Below are 26,062 nucleotides of genomic sequence, written 5' to 3' on the forward strand. Positions count from 1 at the left end.
ACGTGAATGCGGCCTCTCACTTTCTCAGAATATCTTAGCGTACTGTATTGTACCATGGGTAAAGGGGACTACTGAACATGCTAGCTATTGGTTTTACTTTCCTCGATGCTGCAGTTCTTTGGGAGCTTGAGGTTTCACCTGCAAAATGGGGATAATAGCAGTTTATCTACCTAATAGGTGAGGATTAAAAGAGATAATGTAGGGAGATAATGTATATTCAGGGCAACTTGAATCTATGTTCCTGGGCAAAAACATTATTTTTAATAAGACAGATAATGTATGCAAAATGCCGTCTTAGTCCATTTTCTGCCGCTATAACAGAATACCACAGACTGGGTAATTTATAAGGAAAAGACATGTATTTCTCAGTTCTGGAGGCCGGAAGTCCAATAGCAAGGTGCCAGCATCTGGTGAGGGGCTTCTTGCTGTGTTATCCCATGGTGAAAGGAGGAAGCACAAGCTAACATGAGAGACAGACAGCAAGAGAAAAGGGGGGTCCACTACTGCGATAAGGGTATTAATCCATTCACGAGGGCAGAGTTCTCATGACCTGATCATCTCTTAAAGTTCTCACCTTGCAACACTGTTGCAATGGCAATTAAATTTTAGCATGAGCTTTGGAGGGGACATTCAAACCACAGCAAATGCTTATCTCAGGTGTGGTGCTTAGCAGGCACACAATATACTCGTAGTGATGATTATCTGTTCACGCAAGCTTGTGTTGGAATAATTAAGGTATTTGACTTCTCCGTCCTCCAGAGGAGGTTCATAGTGACATACATGGTAACAAATATGTATCATAGGTGCTGTAACTACATAAAACAAAGGCACATGGGTCTGGGCAGCTAGGATAGATAATTCCAGCCTCATCTACATCTACTCTTCACGCAGAGGAGACATCCTGGCACCTCCATGCCTTTGTGCTGGTAGGATTTTCCTCGCTGTATTCATTTCCTAGGGCTGTCATGACGGAATGTTACACACTAGGTACCTTAAAATAACAGATGTTTATCATTTCACTGTTCTGAAGGCCACAAGTCCAAAATCAAGGTGTTGGCAGAGTTGATTCCTTCTGGAGGCTCTAGTAGAGAATCAGTTCTCTGCTGTCTCTCTTTTCAATTTCTTTTCTCATTTCTCTTATTTCTATATGCATTAAGACTCAATCTGGCTTAATGCCAAAGGGTATTTATGAACTCAAGTAACTGCAAAGTCCAGGAGATCGTGGTGGCTTCAGGTGCAGCTGGACCCAGGGGCTCAAATGATATTTTCAGGCATCTGCTCTCCCACCATCTCTTGGCTCTGCTCTTCCCTTATTGGCTTTATTATCAGGCAGGCTCTTCTATCACGGATGCACATATTATCAGTAGCCCAGCAGAAAGAGAGTGCCCCTTTCAGAATAGTTCCAGGCAAAGCCCTGCATGTCACTCCCTTGGTCTGGCTTGAGTCACAGGTCCAGAGTTGAACCAATCACTGTGCATTTGGTTGTCCAGGCTTGAGACCTTCACTCATTTATAACTGGGGGAAGGAGGTAGTGCCTTCAAAGGGAAATGGTTTGAAGTTTCTATACAAAGGGGGAAGGTATGATGAGCTTGCCAAAATACTGACTATTCTCCCCACTCTCCTTCCTTTCCTCTGATTCCACCTCAAATGCTGAGCTGGACTCATGATGTGTGCAGAGACCCTGAGTCCTGGGTGTTCTCCAAGAGCACATGCTAAGTGGTGGGTGGGGTGAGAAGAGACAAGCGTTTGAAAGGTGAGATGTCAGGGCAGAAGAAGACCACTCAGCACCAAGAGTTTCTTTTCAGGGAATAAAAATGTTGAGACTTGAGGCCATCATGTCCACTGCCTTAGTAGTATAAATGGAGAAACTGAGACCGAGGAGGTGAAGGGACTTGCTTGGGGTACCCTGTGAGTCAGTGGCAGAGCAAGAAGCAAAACATTCATCTCAGATTCCTGGGCTGGTCTTCATTCCCCCACACACTTGCATGGTCAGATGGGTGGTTGTTTTGTGGGATGTAGCTACCTGCTTGCAGGAGACTCTGGAGATGGTGCCCAAGAAGAGATGCCATTTTGGATGGACACTGAAGGATGAGTAAGCTTTTGCCAGGGTAGAAGGAATGGAACCCATACATCCAAATCCATACATCCTTCCATTCTCCCTCCTTCTCTTCCTTCCTTTCTCTCCCTCTCTCTTTCATTTGATTCTCCCTCCAGCCCTCCCTCTGGTGTGACTTCGGAGGGAGTGATCCTGGCTAGCACCTGGGAAGAGAGGGAAGAATTTGTTACAGCATCCAGGACTGAACCCATGAGAGCCTGAAATGGAGGGGTAGTGGTGAGACCAGAAGTCATAGCGTTCAAAAGCTTCCCAAGAAATGCAGGTGTCCAAGCATGGAGGGTGCAGCTTCCCATGAACAAAAACAAAACAAAACAACAGCCTCAAAACCAGGAACTGTACCTCCCTTGCCCAGAGTGGCCACTAAAAAAATTAATTTTATTGTGGTAATCATTTTGCAGTGTATTCATATGTCGAATAATCACATTGGACATCTTGAATATATGCCATTTTAACTTTTCAATTATACCTCAATAAAACTGGAAAATAAGTAAATAAAATAATGAAAGACAAAAATTCCAATTCACCAGTGAGTTCAGGCGCAGTTCCCTGGGGATAGCAAAGCTTGTGTGTTACAAATGCTTAAGGAACAAAAGGGAAACCTCGGAGTTGGAGAAAACCATTTAAAGCTACATGCCAGCCTCTACTTTCCCTCTGTCCAACCCCACACAATTTATAACCCCAGTCTCCCTGGCAATTAGCCCAGATCTCCCTCCACGGGGAGGGGTAGTTAGAGCTGGTCATGTGACCACGGGGTCACATGGCCCAGAGCTGGGCAGAAGCAGTCCAGGTCGTCAAAGTGCTCCATGTGCTTTGCTCTGTGGGGCTGATTTGTTGCCCCTTCTGTCCCAGCTTGGCCTGCTTGGAGGAACACCTGCGTATTGGGGTCTGCCTCTGCACTTCCCAGCCTGGTTTGCCTTCTCCTGTGCTAGAGGGGAATGACTGGGAGAAGAAGCTGGGGTGGTAGGCTTTGTGTCCTTGGCAAGTCCTTTATCCTAAAAATGGAGGCTCCTAAGTGAGCCTTAGTCCTCTCCTAAGTGAGCCTAAGTGAATTATCTCCTAAGTAAGCCTTAGTCATTTTCTAAGTGAGCTTCACCATGGCTTTCCTCAGCTGCAAACTCCAGGAGCTGCCCCTCTCAGGGACAGTAACAGCTGAAGTCCTCATGGAAGGGGGAACCTCTCCACCCTCATCCCCTCACCCCCTGCACCTCTGGGAGGTTCCTTTCCCACACCAAGCTCATTCCCTCCCCACTTTAGGTTTCTGCATTTGCTGTTCCCACTGCCTGGCACACCATTCCCCCAGCTCCTCCAGTGGCTAATTTCTTCTCATCCTTGAGGTCTCATTTTAATTGTCGCTGTCTCTTGTCATCCAATTACTGCCTACCCTCACCCCAGTTCCCATCATTGCCTCATCACCCCATTTCTCCGTCTTCACAGCACTCACCCTATCTGAAACTATTTGTTCATCTGTCTATTGCCCATCTCCCTTCTAGAATGCAAACTCCATGACGTGTGTCCCATCTTACTTGTCTTATTCACAGCTGAATCCCCATTCCTGATAACTGTGCTCAACACAGTAAGGACTCAATAAAGTTCATGAATGACTGACTGACTCATTTTGCAGATGAGGAAACTGAGGCTCAGGGAAAGTAAGTGATTATCTTAAAGTCCACCACAAACTATCTGCAGACTCTGAAGTCCTTATTCCTTTCTTTAGGTTATACTTTTCCCCTCATCTGTAAAATGGGGACAATGATGGCTCCTGACTCTAATGAGAAAGTTACAGGACCTAGAAATACCCCTTCCTCTAGGTGGGAACTCGAATTAGAACAACACAAGCCCAGGTTTCTTCTCCCTCTTCAGGTGGGAAGCCTTTCAAACCCACTGCTAGCAGTGCCCAGAGAAGGAAACCATAAAACCCGTGACAGCATGGTTTATTGCACCCATGCAAACACACCCCCAGGCCAAATCAAGTTTCTCCCAAATCACAAAACCCTAGAATGTCAGCGCTGGCAGAGAACTGGGGGACTGTGTAGCCTGGAGGCTCCCAGACCTCACTCAGCAATGGCCTTACTTGGGGAACAATTTTGAAACTCAGATTTCTAGGCTCTACCCTGAGCATCTATGCTAGTTGGAAGTGCAGAGGGTTTGCTGGGCTCTAACACCTGGAAAAAACAAAGGGAGGAAGCAGGATGGGGCATGGGGTCGGGTCAGACCACAGATGTGCAGATATGACACATTTCTGCCAGCCCAGTGGGGAGCTGCAGATCAAAGGTGGTTAGAGGAGTCCTCAGTTGGGCAGAAATGACCATGGCCCTGGTGCCACTGCCATGCTCACTGGCCAGGTGCCGCCCTAAGGAGATCATGCCCTCAATCTCCCAGGGCCTCGCTCAGCCACTGGCCAGGGGCAGCCCAGAAAAAGCATGACCTTGAAGGAAGCAAACACGGATGAGCTGGAAGTTATCTACAGAACACACCCCCGCAGCGGGGCAAGGAGGCTTTTCTTGAAGGGAAGGCAGTGCATCTCCATGCTGCTGCACTGCTCAAATCCATAAATCATAAAATCCCAAATCATAAAACCCTAGAATGTCCCCTGGAGGGACCTGAGATTTGGTATTTTAGTAAGTTCTCTGAGTGCCTTAAGCTCCTAAATGACTCCTTTTCCAGTGCTCTTTCCTTTGCTCAGGCTTCTCCAGGCCAGCACAGTCAAGATGAGCATCCATCCCATATCTGGTAGCCACATTTCAGGAGAGATGGAAAGAGGCAGGTGGCCCAGGCTTCAGGATCTGAGAGAGATGGTTTAGGGCCTTGGTTCTTAATCAAGGGTAATTGTGTCCCCAGGAGACATCTGGCAATGTCTGGAGACAGTCTGGTCATAACAACTGGGGCAGGAGGTGCTAGTGGCCTTTAGTGGGTGGAGGTCAACGATGGTGCTAACATCCTACAATGGATAGGAGAGTCCCCACCCCAAATAATTATCTGGCCCAAAATGTCAATAGAGCTGTGGTTAGTAAATCCTGGTCCACGACCTTCCTGAAATCAGGGATGGTATTTGGTGAGTACTAGGTGCATTTTCCTGATTTTGGCTTCCCCAGTTTGGGCTGTGACCCAGACTAGGTTAGGACCTTCTGTCCTCTGGGCTCTGGCTTGCCAGAGCCATCTGGTGCCTAAACCTGCCATCCTTGTGTTCCCTCCAGGCCTTTGCACTTGCTATTCCCCCTGCCAGAACAATCTCTCCTACCCACCCCCAGCCTTCTTCATCACCTGATGCCTTTATTCATCACTTACTCTGTGCCAGGAACTGTGCTCAGTACTTGCCTGGTTTTTCTCATTTAGTCCTCACAAGCACCACCCTCTGAAGGTGGTGTGATTGTTGTCCCCTATTTAGAGATGAGGGAACAGAGACATAAAAGGGTTAAGTGGCTTGCCCAAGGCCACACAGTCAGGGAGTGACAAAGCTGGAATCCCAGCTCAGGCAGGCTCCAGAGCCCAGAATCCTAACCACTGCACCACCCTGCCTCCAACAGTTGCCTTCCCACACTGTCTGTCCGTGCACTGGTCCGCAGCCTCCTCCAGGCTCTGGGCTTGGTGTGGGCAGGGACCTTGTGCCTGGCATGGTTCCTTTTACAGAAGGGGCCCTCTGGAAACATTTGGTGAGTGGATGAATTCATAGCATTCTGGTCTCCTTTCTCAAAGCTCTATGGCTACACTCAGGTCAGCATCAGAAGGCAAAGAGCCTGTGATCCACCGTTGAGTTAGAATTGAGCATTCGAGTTCCTGGTTCTCATTGGAGAGTGATGGAAGAAATGACCACTTGAGGAAGGCTTCTCTAGGTTTGGTGGAAGCCATAGACACCTATGTTCATTACTGTGACTCCATGTCCCTTCTGTGAATGGTCACAGGATAGAGCTTGCTTTTGAGGACATTGTGTCTAGGGAAACACTGGGCCCCTTCCTCACCTTGGTGTTTCCAGTGCTGGGTGTGGTGCCTGCTGAACAGTGGTGCATTAGATTCCAAGGGCAGCTGTAATAAATTGCTACAAACTATGTGGCTTAACACAACAGAAATTTATTCTCTCATGGTTCTGGGGGCCAGAAATCCAAAATCAAGGTGTCAGCAGGGCCATGCTCCCTCTGAAGTCTCCAGGGGAGGATCCTTCGTTGCCTCTTTCAGCTCCTGGTGGCTCCAGCCATTCCTTGGCTTGTGGCTTCTTCACTCCAGTCTCTGCCTCCATCTTCTTGTGGGTATGCATGTGGTCTTCTTCTCCTTTTCTGTATCTTATAAGGACATTTGTCATTGGATGTAAGACCCACCCTAAATCTAGGACGAGCTTATCTTGAGATCTTTAACTACATCTGCAAAGACTCTATTTCCAAATAAGGTCACATTCACAGGCATCAGGGGTTAGGAACTGGACATATATTTTTGATGCCGCTATTCAACCCATGATAGTGAAGTAGTTACAATAAAACAACAGTATTGGTATCAATGATACTGATATCCACGGTTAATTATTCAGTTCCAATCCTGAGTCCTTTCCATATGCCTTGGCCTTATTAAAGACTTTTTTTTTTTTTTCTCAGAGTCTTGCTCTGTCGCCCAGGCTGGAGTGCAGTGGTGTGATCTCGGCTCACTGCAACCTCCGCTTCCTGGGCTCAAGCGATTCTCCTGTCTCAGCCTCCTGAGTAGCTGGGACTACAGGCACCTGGCACCATGCCTGGCTAATTTTTTTGTATTTTTAATAGAGACAGTGTTTCATCATATTGGCCAGGCTGAACTCCTGACCTCATGATCCACCCGCCTTGGCCTCCCAAAGTGCTGGGATTACAGGCATGAGCCACTACGCCTGGCTGGCCCTAAAGACTTTACCTGCAGCGTCTTCTTTGATACTCACACCAACTCTCACTCCTCCCCAATTCACAGACAAGGAAGCTGAGACTCAGAGAGAGGCAATGTGACTCTCTTCCAAGGTCTTAAATTTCCAAACCTGGCTGTGCATCTGAATCACCTGGGGTGGGAGAGCTTGTCTTAAAAAAAATGCAGATTCTTATACCTTATCCACAGATGATTCTGACTTATGAAGGTCTAGGATGAATAAAAAAATCAGCATTTTTATCAAGAGGAAATTTCCTCCTAGTTAGGTTTGGGAATGTGTCCTGGTTACTGTTGCTGTGTAACAAATTACCCTGCTCCTTAATGGCTTAAAACACTCATTTTAATTTGTTCTGGGTTTTGTGGGCCAGGAACTTGGGAAAGGCTCAGCTGGGCGGTTCTCACTTGAGGGTCTCTCATGCGGTTGCAGTTCACATGTTGGTTGGGGCAGCAGTCAGTTGAAGGCTCAGCTGGGCTGGATGTCTGAGATGGCTCCCTTCTGGTGACTGGCAGGTGATGCTGGCTCTCTGTCAACAGGGGCTTCTCCAGGTGGCTTCTTCAGCATGGTGGGCTCAGGGGCACTGGACTTCTCAGAGAGAGGCTCACAGGCTCCAGGCATGAGGAGATCACACAGCATCACTTCTTCCATATTCTTGGTTATAAGTGAGTCACAAGCTCATCCAGATTCAAGTAGGGAGAGGAGGGGGACAGAGACCTCACCTCTCAGCAAGAAGACAGTCAAGGAATTTGTGTTCATTTAAAAAAAAAAGACTGTGACAGAGTGGCTGCACATTACCTAGCAATACCTTCCTTTTGTCTTTTGGCCGAATGTTCATTGAAGTAGGTTATTTTAAGATGAACATTATCCTGGAAAAAGGACGTCAAGCCAGGCTGGAAGACCTCACTCCTACCTACCCCATCCACCCGATTCCCACCCCAACCAGACTGGAGAAATGTTGTTTAGTCACCAAGTAGGGGGACAAAAAAGAGAATGGAAACTTCTATGTTGGCTCTGACACTTTCTCTCCCTCAATCCCATCCATACCATCTGCTGTGGTCTAATGTTTGTGTCCCCCCAAAATTCCTTGCCCTTAATGTGATGGTATTAGGAGGTGGGGCCTTTAGGGGGTGGTTAGGTCATGAGGGTGGAGCCCTCATGAATGGCATTAGTGCCCTTAGAAAAGAGACCCCTGAAAAATCCCTTACCTCTCCCACCACGTGAGGACACAGCTAGAAGGTGCCATCTATGAACAAGGAAACAAGTCCTCACCAGACACCTAATCTGCTGCCATCTTGATCTTGGACTTTCCAGCCTCCAGAACTAAGAGCAATAAATTTCTCTTGTTTATAAGCCAACCAGCCTATGGTATTTTTGCTACAGCAGCCCACATGGACTAAGACACCATCCCTCACCATGGGAGAGAGGAGGAAAGAAGGAGGTCTCTGTGTTTCAGTATGAACCAGTTCTAAAGGCAGCCACAGCCTTCTGGTTCCCGAAAACAAAAGTGGATTGGGGGTTGTCTGTCCCTTGCCCTCCCTTGACAAACACTTCTCCCTCTATCTTTCTGGGTGACCAGCTCCTATTCTCTTTGCCTCAGTTTCCCCTCTATATCTGGGCTGAAACACAGATTGCAAACTTGTTAACAGATTTCGTGTGTCCCTTTTAATGCTTTTAATCTGAATGTGCCGTCATTTTTAAAAATAAGAAAATTTCACCTTTAAGCAAAATCTGGTTTAAGCAAAATCAGCACAGCTGGCCTTTCTGAGCCCCTCTTCCTGCATGACAAAGACCGAATAGTGGCCACCCCCATACAGGGGCTGGGGCTCACATGTTGCCCATCCCTCAATGCCTTTCAAGTGTCTTCCCACCTGCCCAGCCCCTGCAGGCACTGGAAGCTGCAAGCCACGGTGTACATTGTACATTGTGAGTTAGATAGCTTGATGCCCACTCTGCAGATGAGGAAACCGAAGCACAGAGAGTTTAAGCGACTCCCCTGAGGCCAAATGCACAGGCGATTGCAGGGCCCAGATTCAGGACTCCTTCTCCCTTTTCTCCACAGGCACTGCCGCCTCTGAGTGGTCAGCACTGCCCCTCAGAGAGAGGCCTACCTGGTTCATTTCCCAGTGAAGCACCTGAATGATGCTCCTCCCTGTTTGTCTCTTCGAGGGGCTGGGCTATTTCAGGGCCAACTTCCTCACCATCTTCACCTGCAAGGCATTTCTCCTACAAGCTGGGAGAAGCCTGTTTCAGAGAAGATTCAAGAGACAGAGCAGATCCTGCTTAATGAGCAGTGGGCAGCAATGGAAGAATGAATGTCCAAGGAGTGGGGGAGGGGATGCTGTAAGGAGAACCGGTGAGGGCACCCAATGACTTCACGGAGCTGGCCACCCTCTCTCCTGTTGGTGCCTCAATCCACGGGGACTCCAGGTAAGAACTACCTGTGCCATGAGGGCCCTCTCAGCTCTCAGCTCCCATCAGGCTCCTCCTGTGCCCAGTGCCCCCAGAGAGCAAGGGGTCCAGGGGTTCCTGCCATTCATTCACTCATTTGCTCATTCATTTAACAGCACAAAGTGTATTTACTGAGCAACTACTATGTGCCAACACCAGGCACTGCCTTAGGACTGGGAACACAGCAGAGAATAGGTAGAAAAAGAATTCCTGTCCTGGTGGAGGTGACAGTCTGTTGGAGGTGGCAGATGGTAAATAAATACATTGACACACAAAATCATATATAGGAGGACATGCTATGCAGGAAGAGCAAAACAGAATAAAAGGCCAGACAAGAACGATAAGGGTCACTATTTTACATGCAAAAAAAGGAGAGGAGGGGAGAGGAGGGGAGAGAAGGGGAGGGGAGGGGAGGGGAGGGGGAGGGAAAAACCCCACCTCCCTGCAAAGGGACATTTGTAGAGACAGGGGTCTTGCTATGTTGCCCAGGATGGTCTTGAATTCCCGGCCTCAAGGTAATCTTTCCATCTCAGCCTCCCAAAGTGCTGGAATTAAAGGTGTGAGCCACCATGCCTGGCTGGGGCAAACGGACATTTGAGAAGCCGTTGGCATGAACTAAAGGAGTGAGCCATAGAGGTGGAATGTTCCAGGCCAGGAACAGCAGGTTGGAGTCCCTGAGTGGGCGGGTACCTGGGGCACCCAGGCCGGGGTGGTAGGGATCAGGGGAGATCAGAGAGATCACAGGCAGGATCTGGTAGGTGCTTGGTTTCAGCCTGCATGAGATAGGAGCCGTGGAAGGAGTGATAGGATCTGACTTAGGTTGTCAGAGGCTCACCCTGGCCACCAAGTGGGAAATGGATGTGGGGGGCAGTAAGGCCAGGATGGAAGCAGAGAGACCAGGGAGGAGGCTCTGGTGTCATCCAGGTAGAAGCAATGGGGGCTTGGACCCACGTAGGTGTAGAAGCGATGGGACAAAAAGGTCAGACTCATGGGGAAAGTGACAGATTTGGGCACCTCCACCCCAGCCAGCTGTCCCTCCTCCCTTTCCTGCATAGGTGGAAAAGGAGCAATAAGTGATAGGCCCATTTCCAGATTCCTGGATGGGTGAGGGAAGGGCTCCCAGCTCCTCAAAAAAGATGCCCTGCTGGGAATCCACTCAGCCTCCCAGGAGATGGGGCCTGGGAAGCCACATTGGGGTTAGCAGCAGAGCTGGTGAGTTCAGTGCTTGGGCAACGGTATCAAGTGAGACCCACATTTCCCCTCTAGTCAGCCTCTCTAGTGCTGGTCAGCCATCTCAAAATGCATGTCTTTTGCAAGAAGGGTCTATTGTGGCTCATGACATAAGGGCTAAGTCCCCACTCTGCCACTCACTAGCTGTTCGACCTTAGGCAAGTGGCTGCACCTCTGTGAGCTTTAGCGTTTCCATCTGTAAGTTGGGGACCTTTAAATAGTGCTTATCATCTCAAAGGGTTACTGTGAGGATGGAATGAGATAGCGTAATGAAAGCACTTAGCACAGTGCCCGAAACTGGCCCTGTCAGAAATGGCCATGATATCTAGGAGCTCCTCCTATCAGGAGGTAGAGTCTGTTTCCCCAGTCCTTGAACCTGACCTGGCTCTGTGTCTTGCTTTGTCTCCTAGAATGCAGGGGAAGTAATGTTGTGCCCATTTCAAGCCTCAGCCTTAAGTGGCCTTGTAGCTTCGGCTCTTGGAACCTGATGCCTACAAGCAAGGAAGCCTGCGCCAGCCTGTTGGATGATGAGAGACCCCTATCCCTGTGGACAGCCAGCCAGCCGCCAGACACGGGAGTGAGGCCTAGATCATTCAACCAATGTTCAACCTACCAGCTGCCTGCAGACACATGAGCAAGACTGGCCAAGACCAGCAGAGCCAGCCCACACCAAAAGTGTCACCCAGCCAACTCACAGAGTCACAGACAAAATCAATTGTTATTCTGAGTCCTAAATTTGGGGGTGGGCTGCTGTGTCATAAACACCAACTGACCCAAAGCCAACTCAGCTTGTGTGCCTTCCTGTTGTCTAGGCTTAGCACAGGTGCCACACTAAATAATGCCCCACCCCAAATGTCCACATCCTAATCTCCAGAACCTTTGACTATGTGACCTTCCATGGCAAAAGGGATTTTGTGGGCGCGATTCAGTTAAAGATCTTGAGCTGGGGAAATGATCCTGGATTATCTGGGTGAGTCCAATGTTGCCACAGGGATCTTTATAAGAGGGAGGCAGAGTCAGAGAAGGAGATGTGATAATGGACGCAGAGAGAGAGAGACTGGAAGATGCTACACAGCTGACCTTGAAGAAGGAAGAAGGAGCTACAGGCCAAGGAATGCCGGTGGCCTCTACAAGCTGGAAAAGGCAGAGAAACAGGCTCCTAGAGCCTCCAGGAGGAATGTAGCCCTACCGATGCCTTGATTTGGGGACTTTTTTTTTTTTTTTAGAGATAGGGTCTTAAAAAAAAAACCCTATCAAAACTCAGAACAATGATTGATTTTGTTTGTGACTCTGTGAGTTGGCTGGGTGAGTCTTTTGGTGTGGATCTGACCCTTGGCTATATTGCCGAGGCTAGCCTCAAACTCCTGGATTCAAGCGATCCTCCTGCCTCAGCCTCCCAAGTAACTGGGACCACAGGCATGCACCACTATGCCCAGTCTCAGGACTTCTGACCCTCAAAACTGTAAGAGAATAAATGTTTGCTATTGTAAGCCACCAGGTTCGTGGTAATTTGTGACAGCAGTAACGGGAGGCGAACACAGCATACTAGGTCTCTGTGCCCACTGCACTTCCTGCCTTCTGATTAAAAGCAAGCTGGGAACCCGTTTTCCTTGAGACAGATGACCCTGACTATTGACAGGTATAAGGAATCAGAGTAAAAACAGCAATCATAATAACAGTTACTATTAATTCTTGAACCCTTATCACATGCCAAGCACATTAGGCTAATGGCTTTGTATATGTTATTTCATTTAATCTTCACCTAAGTCATTTGAGGAAGTACTATTTCCAGCCCCATTTTACAGATGGGAAAACCGAGGCTCAGAGAGTTTCTAAAACATACCCAAGGCCACACCACTAGAAAGTGGCAGGAGAGAGTCACATCCGGGTCTGTATGATCCCTGACGATCAGACACTCAAACCTTCCCTGGGCTCAGCTCATGCAGGAGGAACCCTCTTCTCCCTCCCATCTCTGTTTTGCCTCTTCCCCAGGTCGGGCAGGGGGGCTTCCGATACATTTCCCTTACTCTCAGCCCCTTTTTCTTTCTCCCTAAGCCTCAACAAAAGGCTCTTTCACTCTTCACATGCCATTTTATCCGGCACAGACAGCCTGGCATTTTTGAGAGGAACTTTATTTTCTTTTGGCTTTCTCTCTGCTTTGTAGCAAAGAAAATAGAAATTGCAAAATTATAGACAAGTTCTCAGACTGTAGATTTCTGATCCCAAGAATTCCCTGCAGCCAGGACCGGTTGGCACTGATGACTGGCACAACGCCTAGCTTCCCCTCCTCCCAGCTCCAGGCCTCCACCTGCTGGGCGGCATCTTGTCTCCCATCCTTGCGAGAGATTTACCTAAAATTAACAGTACACGATGATCTCACTTGTAGAGGACGTCTGTGACTCGTACTTGACTCCTTGTTATGTGAGAAGCACTCCAGTTCTTTTAGGGGAACCGCAGCTTGCTCCCTCTCAGGCCAGGTGGCCTTGATGTAGCTGACTCCACCCCCAACTTGTGGGAGAGGCAGGTGACCCAAGGCCAACGACAGTGCCACATCCCCTCTCCCATAGTGACTGGTCCAGGCACGGGCATGTGCCCCAAGATGAGCCAATCAGAACTGAGGAACAAGGATTCCTGTGTCTTTCCTGGCACTATCGGGTAAAAGTCACTCTCATTTTTGTTGTGGTCAATGGCTGAGCAGCTGGCGACCATCGTTGCCAATGTATGGGGAGAGGGTGCCTGAGGCTGAAGCCAACACAGAGGAAAGTACAAGTGAGATTTCAAAAAAGACAAACTCTTGAGGCCATTGTTTGAGGACCTGGATCCAGCTGTGCCTGAAGTCCTAGATATAACCATTAACTTTTCAGTCAATGAGAACATAAATTGCTTTTTGCTTAAGCCACTTTGTGCCAGGTGTCTATCACATCCAGCTTGACCAATGTAATAGCCAACGTTTATGAAGACCTGTTTATTTTATTTTATGTTTTTGAGACAGAGTTCCACTCCGTCACCCAGACTGGAGTGCAGTGGTGTGGTCTCGGCTCACTGCAACTTCTGCCTCCCAGGTTCAAGTGATTCTCCTGCCTCAGTCTCCTTAGCTGAGATTACAGGCGCCCACCACCATGCCCAGCTTTTTTGTCTTTTTAGTAGAGATGGGGTTTCACCATATTGGCCAGGCTGGTCTTGAACTCCTAACCTCAAGTGATCCACCCACCTTGGCTTCCCAAAGTGTTGGGACTACAGGTGTGAGCCACTGCACCTGGCCAGAACTGTTTTAGTTTGGGTTCTCCTGAAAGCAGAGCTTGAGACAAGGACTTGGGTGCAGATAACTTATTTGACCAGTGATCTCTGGAAGCAGGAGTGAGGGATGAGGGAGAGTAAGTCAGGGAAGGAGGAACGTCAATGTAAAAGTGCCATTACAGATAACAAAGACTCAATCTCTCTGGAACCTGTTGAGGGGTGTAGAGAATGCTTTCCAGAATTGTCTACTGAAGACCAGAAGACTGCAACAGCATCCACTGTCCTTCACTGTCACGAGGGGCTGACCCCAGGGGCGATGTGGTAGGCAGAATGATGACCTCTAAAGCTACCCATTTCCTAATCTCCAGAGCATGTGAAATGTTCGGTTACATGGCAAAGGGTATTAAGGGAGCAGATGAAATGAAGGTTGCTAACCAGCGGACCTTAAAACAGGAAGACCATGCTGGGCTATCTGGTGGGCCCCGTGTAACCACAAGAGCTCTGATAAGTGGAAGGGAGGGGATGACAGAGGGACAAGCAGAGATGGCAATGAGAGAAAGACTCAGCCCAAAACACTGCTTGCTTTGAAGATAAAGGAAGGGACCATGAGCCAAGGATTAAGGGCAGCTTCTAGAAGCTGGAAAAGGCAAGGAAACAATTCTCCCCTAAGCCTCTAAGGGTGCAGTTCTTGATTTTTAGCACAGCGAATCCCATGTCAGGCTTTTGACCTCCAGAACTGTAAGATAGTGAAGGGGTATTGCTTCAAGCCACCCAGTGTGTGGCAATTTGATACAGTCGCTATAGGAAAGTAATACAAGTCATAACCCTCCATGTCCAGGCTGCATTGTGTATGGTTGAGTGGACTCCCATCACATCCAACAGGGCCTAAGACCAAAAGAGGAAAGACACACAGCTCATGCTGGAGGCTGTGTGCTGTCACCATGGTGAATCTCAGTTTGCTTGCACAGAATGGCCCACTGCAGCTGCAACTTAATTAGAGTTGGGCCAAAGGAACACCATGACATGGGTAACCAGAGGCAGCTGCCACAAGCAGTTCCTTTGTGCCAAGCACTGTGCAACTGAGTAACTCCATCCCTGCCCATGGCAGACATCACTAATCAATTACAGCATTCTTGCTCCATAAGTCCAGACATGGCTGCAACATCATTCCTCACATAGTGCTCCAGGCAGGCATTACCGGTGTGATTGGAGTTGGAAGGGTCAAGAGGTTCCATGGCCATTATCGGTTGAAGATGAAGGAAGGGGCCATGAGCCAAGGATTAAGGGCAGCTTCTAGAAGCTGGAAAAGGCAAGGAAACAATTCTCCCCTAAGCCTCTAAGGGTGCAGTTCTTGATTTTTAGCACAGCGAGTCCCATGTCAGGCTTTTGACCTCCAGAACTGTAAGATAGTGACGGTGGAGGATGAATCCACCATCCTCCTCAATAGCAAAGCTTCAAAATCCTAAAATTGAGAAAGGAAAATACTCTTGGGAACACAGCTCTGCCTAAGAGAAATGTTACTAAAGGGATTCCAAATTCTTCCCTATCTCCACCCTATGTCCACATCACCCCAAGATTTGCCTCTTCCCTTGGGTCTTCTTATTACTTATATGACTACCACATGCTAGTAGATTACTAGTGTCTACAACCATGAAAATTGCTTCTACTTATTGAGCACCTGTTCCATGCCAGACACTGTTATAGACCTGTTGCCTAAATTTTAGAACATTCTCAGAATGAAGGTATTAGCCCTACTTTGAAGGTGAAGAAATTGAAGTTCAGAGACATTAAGTGCCTCTTACTAGCCTAGGGTCATATCATTGCCACTCCTAGTAAGGGAAGTGCTCCCTTAAATGAACAAAACATAAAAGCAAGCTGCTTGCATTTAATGATACAGCATGAGGGGCCGGGCGCAGTAGCTCACGTCTGTAATCCCGGCACTTTGGGGAGGCGGAGGCGAGAGGCTCCCTTGAGCTCAGGAGTTTGAGACCAGCCTGGGCAACATGATGAGACCCCACCTTTACAAAAAATAAAATAAAAAATTAGCCAGGCGTGGTGGTGCACGTCTGTAGTCCCAGCTACTCAGGAGGTTGAGGTGGAAGGATTGCTTGAGCCTGGGAGGCCGAGGCTGCAGTGAGCCATAATCACGCCACTGCACTGCAGCCTGGGCAACAAAGCGAGACCTTGTCTTAATAATAATAATAACAATAATAATAAAGTATGAGGACGGGGCTCGGATAGCTTTAAAATACTCAGAGCAAAAATGGGAGAAGTATGTGAAAAGGGGACTCATTCCCTCATTTATTCATCCAGAGTTTCCTAAGCAGCTACTATATGCTGGGTGCTGGGGCTACGGCACTGACTCTGCCAGATATAGTTTCTATCCTCATGGAGTTCACAGTCTCCTCGGGGAGGAGAGACCACACACAGGCCAATACACAAACAACAAACTTCCAGGTTGTGACAAGTGTCCTGGTGGGCATGAGGAAGGTGCCAAGATAGAGAACTTCAAGATGGCCTCTTTGAAAGCAGCTCTTTTCCTCCTTACAAACTCCCTCCCATCTGCTTTCTGGGCTTCTCCCAAGCAGGTCACTTTTATCCTCAGTGCCCAGTGGTACAAGTCCATTTTCTCAAAAAGCTACCCATTTCCCATCATGGTTCTCATTTCAGTCTCCCTAATCATTTTGGCTCATCTTCCTGTATTAATTAATTAATTAAACATTTATTGAGCTCTGACAGTGTGTATGAGGATGGCCATATAGTTCGCTCTGACTCTGTGATTACCCCCATGAACTCTATTATCCTGGGCACCCAAAACCATGGTGACTGAGGTATGAGGTCTACAATCCATATGTTAATAGATTGCTAGAGCCATAAGGATCCTGGAGTTTATTTGCAGAGTTTGAAAGTTCACCAGCACTTTGGAAGGCTGAGGCAGGAGGATCACTTAAGCCCAGGAGTTGGAGACTGGCTTGGGCAACATGCTGACACCCCATCTCTACAAAAAATACAAAAATTAGTCGGGTGTGATGGTACATTCCTATAGTTCCAGATACTCAGGAGGCTGAGGTGGGAGGATCACTTAAGCCCAGGAGGGAGGTCGAGGCTGCAGTGAGCTATGATTACGCCACCATACTCCAGCCTGTGTGACAAAGTGGGACTCTGTCTCCAAAAAACAAACAAACAAAAACCCACAAATTCCTACAGAGGGCAGGCAGTCACCATGAAGGTGTGAAAAGTAGCTGGGTGTAAGACAATAGGGAATGGTGGAAACTGTGGTAAACTGGAGCCCTCATACTCTGCTTAAACATGGGGACTACTCCTCCTTTCCAGCACATGGCTGCCATGTGGAAATACAGGCCCAGCATGCATAGATTTTCCTATTTTTTTGAGAACCCAGAAATTAAACATTTTTTGCAAACGCTCCCAACTTTTAAATGCTGGCAATTAATGCAACTAAAAATAAAAACTGAATGGGGAACGGGGGCTCATTGCCCATAGGCTGATCTGACTCTCCATCTATAACACTTTTTGTGTTACAGATGGGGAAACTGAGGCTCAGAACAGAGAGGTGGTTTGTCTAAGATTTTACATGGCAGCTCAGTAAAATTGGCCCATTTTCCTTAGGACCAGAAGCCCATGGTGCCTCTTTTCCAGGGTCACTAACCCTTCCCCAGGAACTCCAGGGCCAAGGAATCTCCCTGTGGATGGGGACCAAAGTGGGAGGTGGAGGCAGAGTTTTTCTAAGTTCAGGACTCAGCATGGGCACCCACATTCCTGATGCATTTTTCAGAGGCTGGAAAATGATTCCGGGTGTGTGGACACAAGAGTCCATGTTTTCACTCCAGGTCTCCCCCTTTGTGTCTCTCAGTCTCTCTCTGTCTCTGTACCGTCTATCTGTGTCTCTCAGTCCATTTCCTGGTCTCTCTTCTTTCCGTCTCTCTCATCGTTTCTGCCCGTCTGTGTCTGTCTCTCTTCCTCTCCTTTCCCTCTCCTTCTCTCTCTTCCTGCTTCTCTCTCCCGCTTGTGTCTCTCTGCTCTGTCCGTTCCTCTCTGTCTCTCCGCATCTCTCCCTTCAGCTCTGCTGCTCTCCCTTACTCCCTTCCCACACCCCCATCCCCCCCAGGTCTCTCCTCTCCTGCCCTCTGAGTCCCTCTGGCCACCATGGAAAGGTTACTGTAAACGGAAATGAAGCTGAGGGCAAAAGTAATCAACCCCCTGGCTGACCTCCGATCCCGCTCCCCACGCCCATGCTGGCTCCAGCGGTGCCCCCTCCCCCGCCACAACCCCGGCCCCCCTCCCTCCCCACCCCCAGGTCCCCTTGCTGACAAAAGGCCTATCTTCTCTCTGCCTAAATGATTTAAATTCTAATCAAACATCATTTATAGTACATCTCGGAGCCGTCTCCTGGGAGCTGCTCCCACATGAGACGTTGCCATGGCAACCGGGGGGTCTTGTTTCAGAAATGTCAGATTGCATTATTGTCTTCACACTTCTCTGATAACCTGGTGTCTCTCCCTCTCTCTCTCCCGCTCCCTCACTCACACCACCATCCCCAGGATTTTATTCCTCCTCTTTCTCTCCCCCTCTCGCTGCCTTTCTAACCTCCATTCAACCCCCTAGACTCTTCCCAGGACCCCCCAGCCTTCCTCCAGCCCCAGGACAAAATGGCCTGATCGATTTCATCCTCCAGCCTCTCGCCAGGCCCAAGGTCCCCTCCTGTGCCTCTGGCCCCGGGGCCTCCTCCCTTTGGGAAAGGTGTCTTCCCCGCCACCACCCCTCATCTTCGGCAGACACGCTCCCCCCTCTAGGGGTTTGCTGGAGTGCTCTGCTGTCATTTTATTTTGCTAGATATGAAAATGAGACATAGATTTTTTCCAGCGATGCGTATGTGAAGTTCTAATCTGGCTTTTCAGATTTTTTTTCTTTTTGGGGAGGAGGTAGTGGTGGGAGAAATCAGGCACCAGGCTCTTAACAGGATCCACATGGAGAAGCAGAGCATGGGGCAAAAGATGTGATGAGGTGTATGCCCTTGTGCATGTGTGCATGTGTGTGTGTCTTCACGTCCGTGTGTGTGCACGTGTGTGTGCATGTCCGTGTGTGTGCATGTCTGTGTGTGTGCATGTGCCTGAGTATATGCATGCAAGAGCATGTATGTGTGTATATGTGCTCATGTGAATGTGCACTCATGCCCGTGTATGCATGTGTGCCCATGCATGTGTATGCATGTATGTGTGTGCGCAGGCCAGTGCCCATGCATGCATTCATATGCATGCATGAGTGTGCCCATGCCCTATGTGCATTGTGTACATGCGTGTGTGTTCATGTGTGTCCATACCCATGTGTGCATGTGTGCATACATGCATGTGTTTTTTGTGTGCATGTGCCTATGACCATGTGTGTGCATGCATGTGTGTGATATAGGAGATGTCTTTCCCAACCTGGCTGTTGGCACCTAACAGACAGCTCTCAGGAGCCATGCGCTTGCCCTGGTTGTCGCACAGTCCTTCCTGTGCATAAATGGGCACATTTCAATGATATTTTCACATTTAGGTTAAATTCTTCACCCTGTCTGCTGCGGAGATGCATTATCCCTGCAATAGCCCAGAGAGATTTCTCTAAACCCAATGATCCCCTCATTCCACAGATGGGTAAGCTGAGGCCCCAGGAGGGGCAGTGGCATGTTCCAGGTCCAAGGTCACAGGAGGGCCAGAGGTGGCACTGGAGCAGAAGTTTCCCTCTGCCAGGCCACTCAGGAGACTGGCCGGGTCTCAGGGCTGGAACTGATGGAGCCCCACTGCCCCTCAGAGATGGCACCTTGGAGGCACAGGCTGGCAGCATTTGTGCAGCCCCTGCAGGCTTTTATAGGGCTGGCAATGATGCTCACTGCGTGCCACACACTGCTAAGCCATTACAAGAATTATGTCATTGAATCCTCAGAACAACTAGGAGGAGGGTCTATCATTATTCCCATTTTGCAGCTGGAGAAACTGAGGCTCTGAGTGGTGATGTGAGGCAGCCTAAGTTTGCAGAACCAGTAAATGGCAAAGGTGGGATTGTCTGTGGTTCTACAGTGCACCTTTTCCATTCACCACACTGCTTCCTGCAGTGAGGGACAGAGAAAGCCCTGCCCCCTTGAGTACTCAGAAGACTGGGAAGTGCATTTGGCTTTGTCCCTGACACCCCGAGAGTCACATCAGCGAGTTCAGGGATCAATTGCAGTGGTCAGGAGCAGCAGTGTGGGGTGGAGGGCCTGGGATGGAGCAACCATAAAACGTGATTCAAAATGTCCCCAAAAATCTTATTCCCCTATTTCACAGATGAGGAAACTGAGGCTCAGGTAGGGTCAGGAACTTGTAAACGGCAAGGATGGTGCCCAGCTGGGTCTGAGCAACTCTGGTGATTTCTACTGTGTGATGAGGAGCAGACAGCCTGGGTCTGCCCCTCCCTGGTTGAGTGACCCTAGGATCACTCCCTGCTTGTCTGGAACCTCAGTTTTCCCATCTGTAAAATGCGGATCAAAAGCGTACGACCTATGTAGGATGGAAGTGAGGATGACGTAAGTTAACACTGGCCAGCACTGGTGCCTGGTGCAGGGAAGCCCTGGATAAAGCTCTGCGTGTGATGCGTGTTTTGCAGCCGGGAGCGCCTCTGCTTGGATCTAGGCCTCTTCTGTGGCTGTTTTCTTTCTGCCCCTGTCCCTGCAGCTGAGTGAGGTCAAATCCTTAATACATGCCAGATTCCCCCCTTTCCCTGTTTTTCTTTTTGCCCATCTCTCCAGTGAATGGGGCCTGGAAGAGCAGCGCGTGGGCTCTTATGGGCCTTCCACCCCTCTAACCCCATGCCTGGTACCTCTGCAGCCCCACCCCAGCACACATAGTAAGAGAGAGAGGCTGCCAGGGCCCAGAGTGTGCCACCTGTGCAGCCACGCACAGGAAATTCTTATTAATTTTTTAACATTTTAATTTCTCGTTGGATTTTAAGAAGTATGGACCTGGTCTCAACCTAGACACAGCCAGACACGGAGAAACACGACCCGCTGTCTCTCACTGACTCTCTGGTTTCTCACTGTCTCTGTCTCCCTGGGAGTGTCTCTAGATCTCTCTGTGTCTCTCACTGTCTCTGTGTCTCTCTCTGGTGTCTTCCTGTCTCTGTCTCGCTGGGTCTCTCACTGTCTTTCTGGGTCTCTCAGTCTCTGTTTCTCTGTATCTCTCACTTTCTGTGTCTTTCTTTGTGTCTCTCACTGTCTCTGTGTCTCTCTCTGGGTGTCTCCCTGTCTCTGTCTCTCTGAGTCTCTGTCTCTGTGTCTCACTGGGAGTGTCTCTAGATCTCTCTGTGTCTCTCACTGTCTCTGTGTCTCTCTCTGGGTGTCTCTCTATCTCTGTCTCGCTGGGTCTCTCAGTGTCTCTTTGGATCTCTCAGTCTCTGTCTCTGTCTCTCACTGTCGATGTCTCTCTCTGTGTCTCTCACTGTCTCTGTGTCTCTCTCTGGGTGTCTCCCTGTCTCTGTCTCTCTGGGTCTCTCACTGTCTTTCTGTATCTCTTGGTGTCTCTCACTATCTCTCTAGGTCTCTTACTGTCTTTGGGTCTCTCTCTGGGTCTCTCACTATCTCTCTGTATCTACCTCTGGGCCTCTCTCAGGGTCTCATTGTCTCTCTGGATCTCTCACTGGCTCTCTGTATCTCTCTCTCTCTCTCTGGGTCTCACTGTCTCTCTGTCTCTTTCTGGGTCTCTCACTGTCTCTGGGTCTCTCGCTATCTCTCTCTGGGCCTCTCTATATCTCTCTCTGGGTCTCACTGTCTCTCTGTCTCTGACTCCAGGCCTACGACTCAGCCCCAGGGACAGCATGTGGAAGCGAGAGACAGGGAGAGAGACAAGGCGTCCCCGAGTCGCTGAGTCCCAGCCGGAGAGTGAGGAGGCGCCCTCGGGCCCCGCCGCCCCACCCGGCCCCCGCGGCCGCCCCCAGCATGTTTGTCCAGGGCAGGCCGCATTGATCCGCCGCGGCCGTGCCACCGTCTGGTAAATCCCGGCCGCGGTAATGAACCTCCCCGCACACCGCTCACAAAGCACACACTAGCCCTGGCCCCAGCGGTTAATATTTAACTGAATAAGGGCCATAAATATGGAAAATGGGACTTTTAATTAAATAAGCAGCTTTTAAAAGGGCCCTTGGGCGGGAGAGGCTTTTGTTTAAATATGATTGATTTGACATGTCCTTTAGCTCTCACACTCTCTCGAGCTCCCTTCCGACGTTAACTCTTGGCCCCCGGCCCCGGTAGCAAGTTGGCTAGGCCAGACCCTGTTCTGCTGGAGGGAGGGGGCTCCCTGCTGGAGGAAGCGGGGTACGGTGGGAAGGAGGTGCCCTGGGAACTGGGATTGAAAATCCGGCTGCCCGGGCCTCTCGCATTTGGCTTCACCCCCATTACAAGCTGCCTCCATTTCGCAGAATGCGTATTTCACCCTAAAAGAAGGGGCTAGTGGGCTAAGATGTCTCCAGATCCGGGGGCACAGGTTCCCTTTTAAAAGCCATGCCACCAGCTGCCTGTCCTTTGGCGGCTCAGCTGGTGGTCCCTCCCTCTGTGCCTCAGTTTCCCCATCTGTAATATGAGGATAACAATAGCACCTACTCCACAGGGCTGTGTTCGGATTAAGCACATCCCAGACCATGGGAGGGCCCACAGTGTTTGCCAGGATTCCAGCTGAAGGCTCTGTGACTGCTGCGAGGCGCGAGGCCACAGAAGCAGCTTGATGGGCACATTCTCGTATTTAGCGCCGACCTCTCATTTGCATTTTGCACTGAGCCCCACAAAGGAAGTATCTAATTCTACTCATACTCACCCAGAGGCTCACAATCTTGGTGGCTTATGACTCATCTGAGGAGCTTGGAATGCTCCAATTTCAGGCCGGCAGGAATTCAGCAGTCAGGGAGGTCTGTCTTCTGCCTCCAAGCTAATGGCCTTTACCTTTCAAAACTTTTCAAAAAAAGAAAGAAATCACATCCTATTCTAAATTTAATATTTATGAAGCACCTTCCATACACCAGATTCTGCACATGCCTGACCTCAGAGCCCTGTCATCTGCCCTACTTCCTGGGTGAGGAGGGATCTGATGCCCAGAGAAGCCAAGTAACCAGTTCAGAGTTGCCCAGCTAAGGAGCAGCTGGGATTTGAACCCAGGCTGCTTTGCCACCAGTGCCTTAAGCCCCCTGTGGGCCTAGCCTGGTGCAGGCCCATGCCCTGGGACTCATGTCTGATCTGGTCCTGGCTTCTCTGAGCTGACGTAGAAGTCACCTTCCTGGATAATTCTGACATTCTCCATTACCTAAGGAGGGGGATGATGGTGGTCACACAGCCTCCTAGTTTATCAAGACTCTACCCCTTATGCCCAACCACCATTTCTTGCTCTCCCCAAGTCAGATAACTTAGTTTTTGCTTATTCCCACTCATAGGCTGCCTCTTCCAGGAAGTCTTCCCAGATGCACTCTGCTTGTTATGGTGGATACCTTTTCTAACTCTTCCAGTATTGGTGAGTATAGTGAGCATAGTGAGTATTTAACTACATTCTACTGTATTGTCATTTCCTGCAACCACCCATTCACATAGTCGATTACCATTTATTAATGACCTATGATTTTATTTCTCCAGCTTTAAGATGAACTTTTTTTCTTTTTAACATTTTGAAACTGGGATCTAGTACATATATAATGCCCATTTTCATTTGCTCCGGCACTTTGGAAGGCTGAGGCAGGCAAATCACTTGAGGTCAGGAGTTCGAGACCAACCTGGCCAACATGGCAAAACCCTGTCTCTACTAATAATATAAAAATTAGCCAGGCATGGTGCTGCGTGCCTATAGTCTCAGCTACCCAAGAGGCCAAGGCACAAGAATCGCTTGAACTTGGGAGGTGGAAGTTGCAGTGAGCTGAAATCACACCACTGCACTCCAGCCTGGGTGGCAGAGCGAGACTCCATCTTAAAAAAGAAAAAGAAAGAGAAATACTCTAATTAAATGGATGCTGCCTCTTATAACGGATGGCATTTTCAGACTGTGGAAATAAAACTTTGTGCCTAGCCCTGTGTCAGGTGTTGGAAGGATTGGGGAAAATCAGACAGACTTTTACTTTGCTTTCTGCTCCCTGAAAACTTACTGTCTAGTGCAGAGTATATTAAGAAAGCACCCTTCAGCTGGGCATAGTGGCTCACGCCTGTAATCCCAGCACTTTGGGAGGCTGAGGCGGGCGGATGGTCTGAGGTCAGGAGTTTGAGACCAGCCTGGCCAACATGGTGGAACCCCGTCTTTACTAAAAATACAAAAAATTAGCCGGGCGTGGTGGCAGGCGCCTGTAATCTCAACTACTTGAGAGGCTGAGGCAGGAGAATCGCTTTAACCTGGGAGGCGGAGGTTGCAGTGAGCCAAGATGGCGCCATCGCACTCCAGCCTGGGCAACAAGAGCGAAACTCTGTCTCAAAAAAAAGAAAGAAAAAAAGAAAGCACCCTTCTTTCTAATTCCCAAAACTCTCAATTCTCACTTGTTCACTCTTTTACACTTTTACTTAACCCTGTGAATTCTCATGGCCAAAAATGTGTTCCTCTCTTCCTAGGAATGGGGTGATTTTAGTGAAGGGAAGAGGTTATGGACATTAAGTGTTTATATTCTGCCAGGCCCTGTCCTAAGATTTATCATGTATTATCTCATTTAATCCTCACCACAACCTAATAAGGTGAGTGCTACTGTAATCACTACCAGTTTGCAGATGATGAAAGGAGGCTCAGAGACATTAAGTAACTGGCCCAAGGCCACACAGCCAGTGAGTGACAGAGCCGGAGTCAAATTCAGGCAGGTCTGGCTCCAGAGGCCTCACCCCTAACCTCAGTTCTTTCGACCCTTCCTTCATCCTCCCCCACCGCACCTGTGAGCTCCACGCCCATCACAGAAAGGAGGCTTAGAAGCTCATCTTCCATCAACAGTGCAGGGGGGAGACAGCCCCGAGGAGAAAATGAAAGCAGACGGTCTTCCAGAGGGGCTGTAATCAAAGGTGTCATGTAGAGAAAGCTGGAAGAGCCAGAGAGCTCCAACAGGAGGTTGGCCTGGAGCTCTGTGTCTAGTGACTAGTCTGTAGGAGACCTCTCCTTTGGAGGGATGTCCAGTGCCAAGTCCCCAGGGCCAGCTGCAAGGACAGTTTATGGTTCATGCACCCCTCTATAGGGGTGGCCAGCGGGCTGGGGATGGTCAGCAAAACTCCCTGTCTGTGCCGGCACATCTGTTGCCATGGTAACTCCTCTCAGGCATCACCCGGTTCTGGGTCTGTTTCCCGGGCTCAGTGTTGGGGTAGGTAGGGCTGAGGCTGGTTTTGGGGTCGAGGCACAGGGCTGGTGCTGGTGTTGGGGAAGAGGCACAAGGGCCATTTCTCATGCAGACCACCCACGGCGGTGGCAGGGGGTCGGGGAGCACTGAGCGAGGCATCTGTATTCCTTCCTTGTAAGCCCAGAGCAACAGGGGACAAAACCCTGTGTTGAGTACATTTGAGAAGAGACCTCCTCCCTAGAGAATCTCCTCCCTACACCCCTCAGGCTAATGGTTGGGGCCCTGTACATTCCACTTTCCCGGTGACTTTCCTGCCGGCTCCGTTTCTCGCCAACACACTCAGATGCACTCACTACCATCTCCTTGTAGACTGTTGTCCTCCTAATGGGGCTCCCTGTCTGGCAATCTGTCCCCACGGATACATCCTCTACAGGTGAGCTTGATTTATCTGTTTATATAGAAACAAAGTCTCACTCTGCCGCCCAGGCTGGAGTGCAGTGGTGCCATCATAGCTCACTGTAACCTTGAATTCCTGGACTCAGTGATCCTCCCACCTCAGCCTCCCAAGTAGCTAGGACTATAGGTTTGTGCCACCACACTTGGCTAATTATTTTATTTTTGTAGAAATTGGGGTCTTGCTCGTTGCCCAGGCTGGTCTTGAACTCTTGGCCTCAAGCCATCCTCCTACCTTTCACTTTTGAGTAGCTGGAACTATAGTTGTGCACTGCCATGCCAAGCTAATTAATTTTTTTTGTTTTTTTTTTTTTTGAGAGACAGGATTTTGCTGCATTGCCCTGGCTAATCTTGAACTGGCCTCAAGGGAACCTCCCCCCAAGGCCTCCCAAAGTGCTGGGATT

At 49.2% G+C, this 26,062-nt stretch overlaps 1 long non-coding RNA gene across 2 annotated transcripts in view, besides 1 other annotated feature; it reads right to left on the reverse strand.

Moving 5' to 3' along the window:
* Positions 1-240: 240 nt before the first annotated feature.
* Positions 241-26,062, reverse strand: part of LINC01234 (long intergenic non-protein coding RNA 1234) — a 29,107-nt gene continuing 3,285 nt past the window's right edge. The window contains exons 2-3 of one of the 2 annotated variants that reach the window (NR_110026.1): positions 22,739-22,872; positions 241-2,259 (exon numbers count right to left, since the gene is read on the reverse strand). This is a non-coding gene — a long non-coding RNA (long intergenic non-protein coding RNA 1234). The remainder of the gene's footprint in view (positions 2,260-22,738; positions 22,873-26,062) is intronic. The other variant, NR_110025.1, reaches the window with a different exon arrangement.
* Positions 24,662-25,173: an enhancer, noted in NCBI's record as "H3K4me1 hESC enhancer chr12:114206803-114207314 (GRCh37/hg19 assembly coordinates)". NCBI's record gives its function as "activates a minimal SCP1, AML or CMV promoter by ChIP-STARR-seq in naive H9 embryonic stem cells {active_cell/tissue: H9 hESC(naive)}" and the evidence as "EXISTENCE:reporter gene assay evidence [ECO:0000049][PMID:30033119]".

The sequence above is a fragment of the Homo sapiens genome, chromosome 12 (assembly GCF_000001405.40).
Source record: "Homo sapiens chromosome 12, GRCh38.p14 Primary Assembly".
Taxonomy (NCBI): Eukaryota; Metazoa; Chordata; class Mammalia; order Primates; family Hominidae; genus Homo; species Homo sapiens.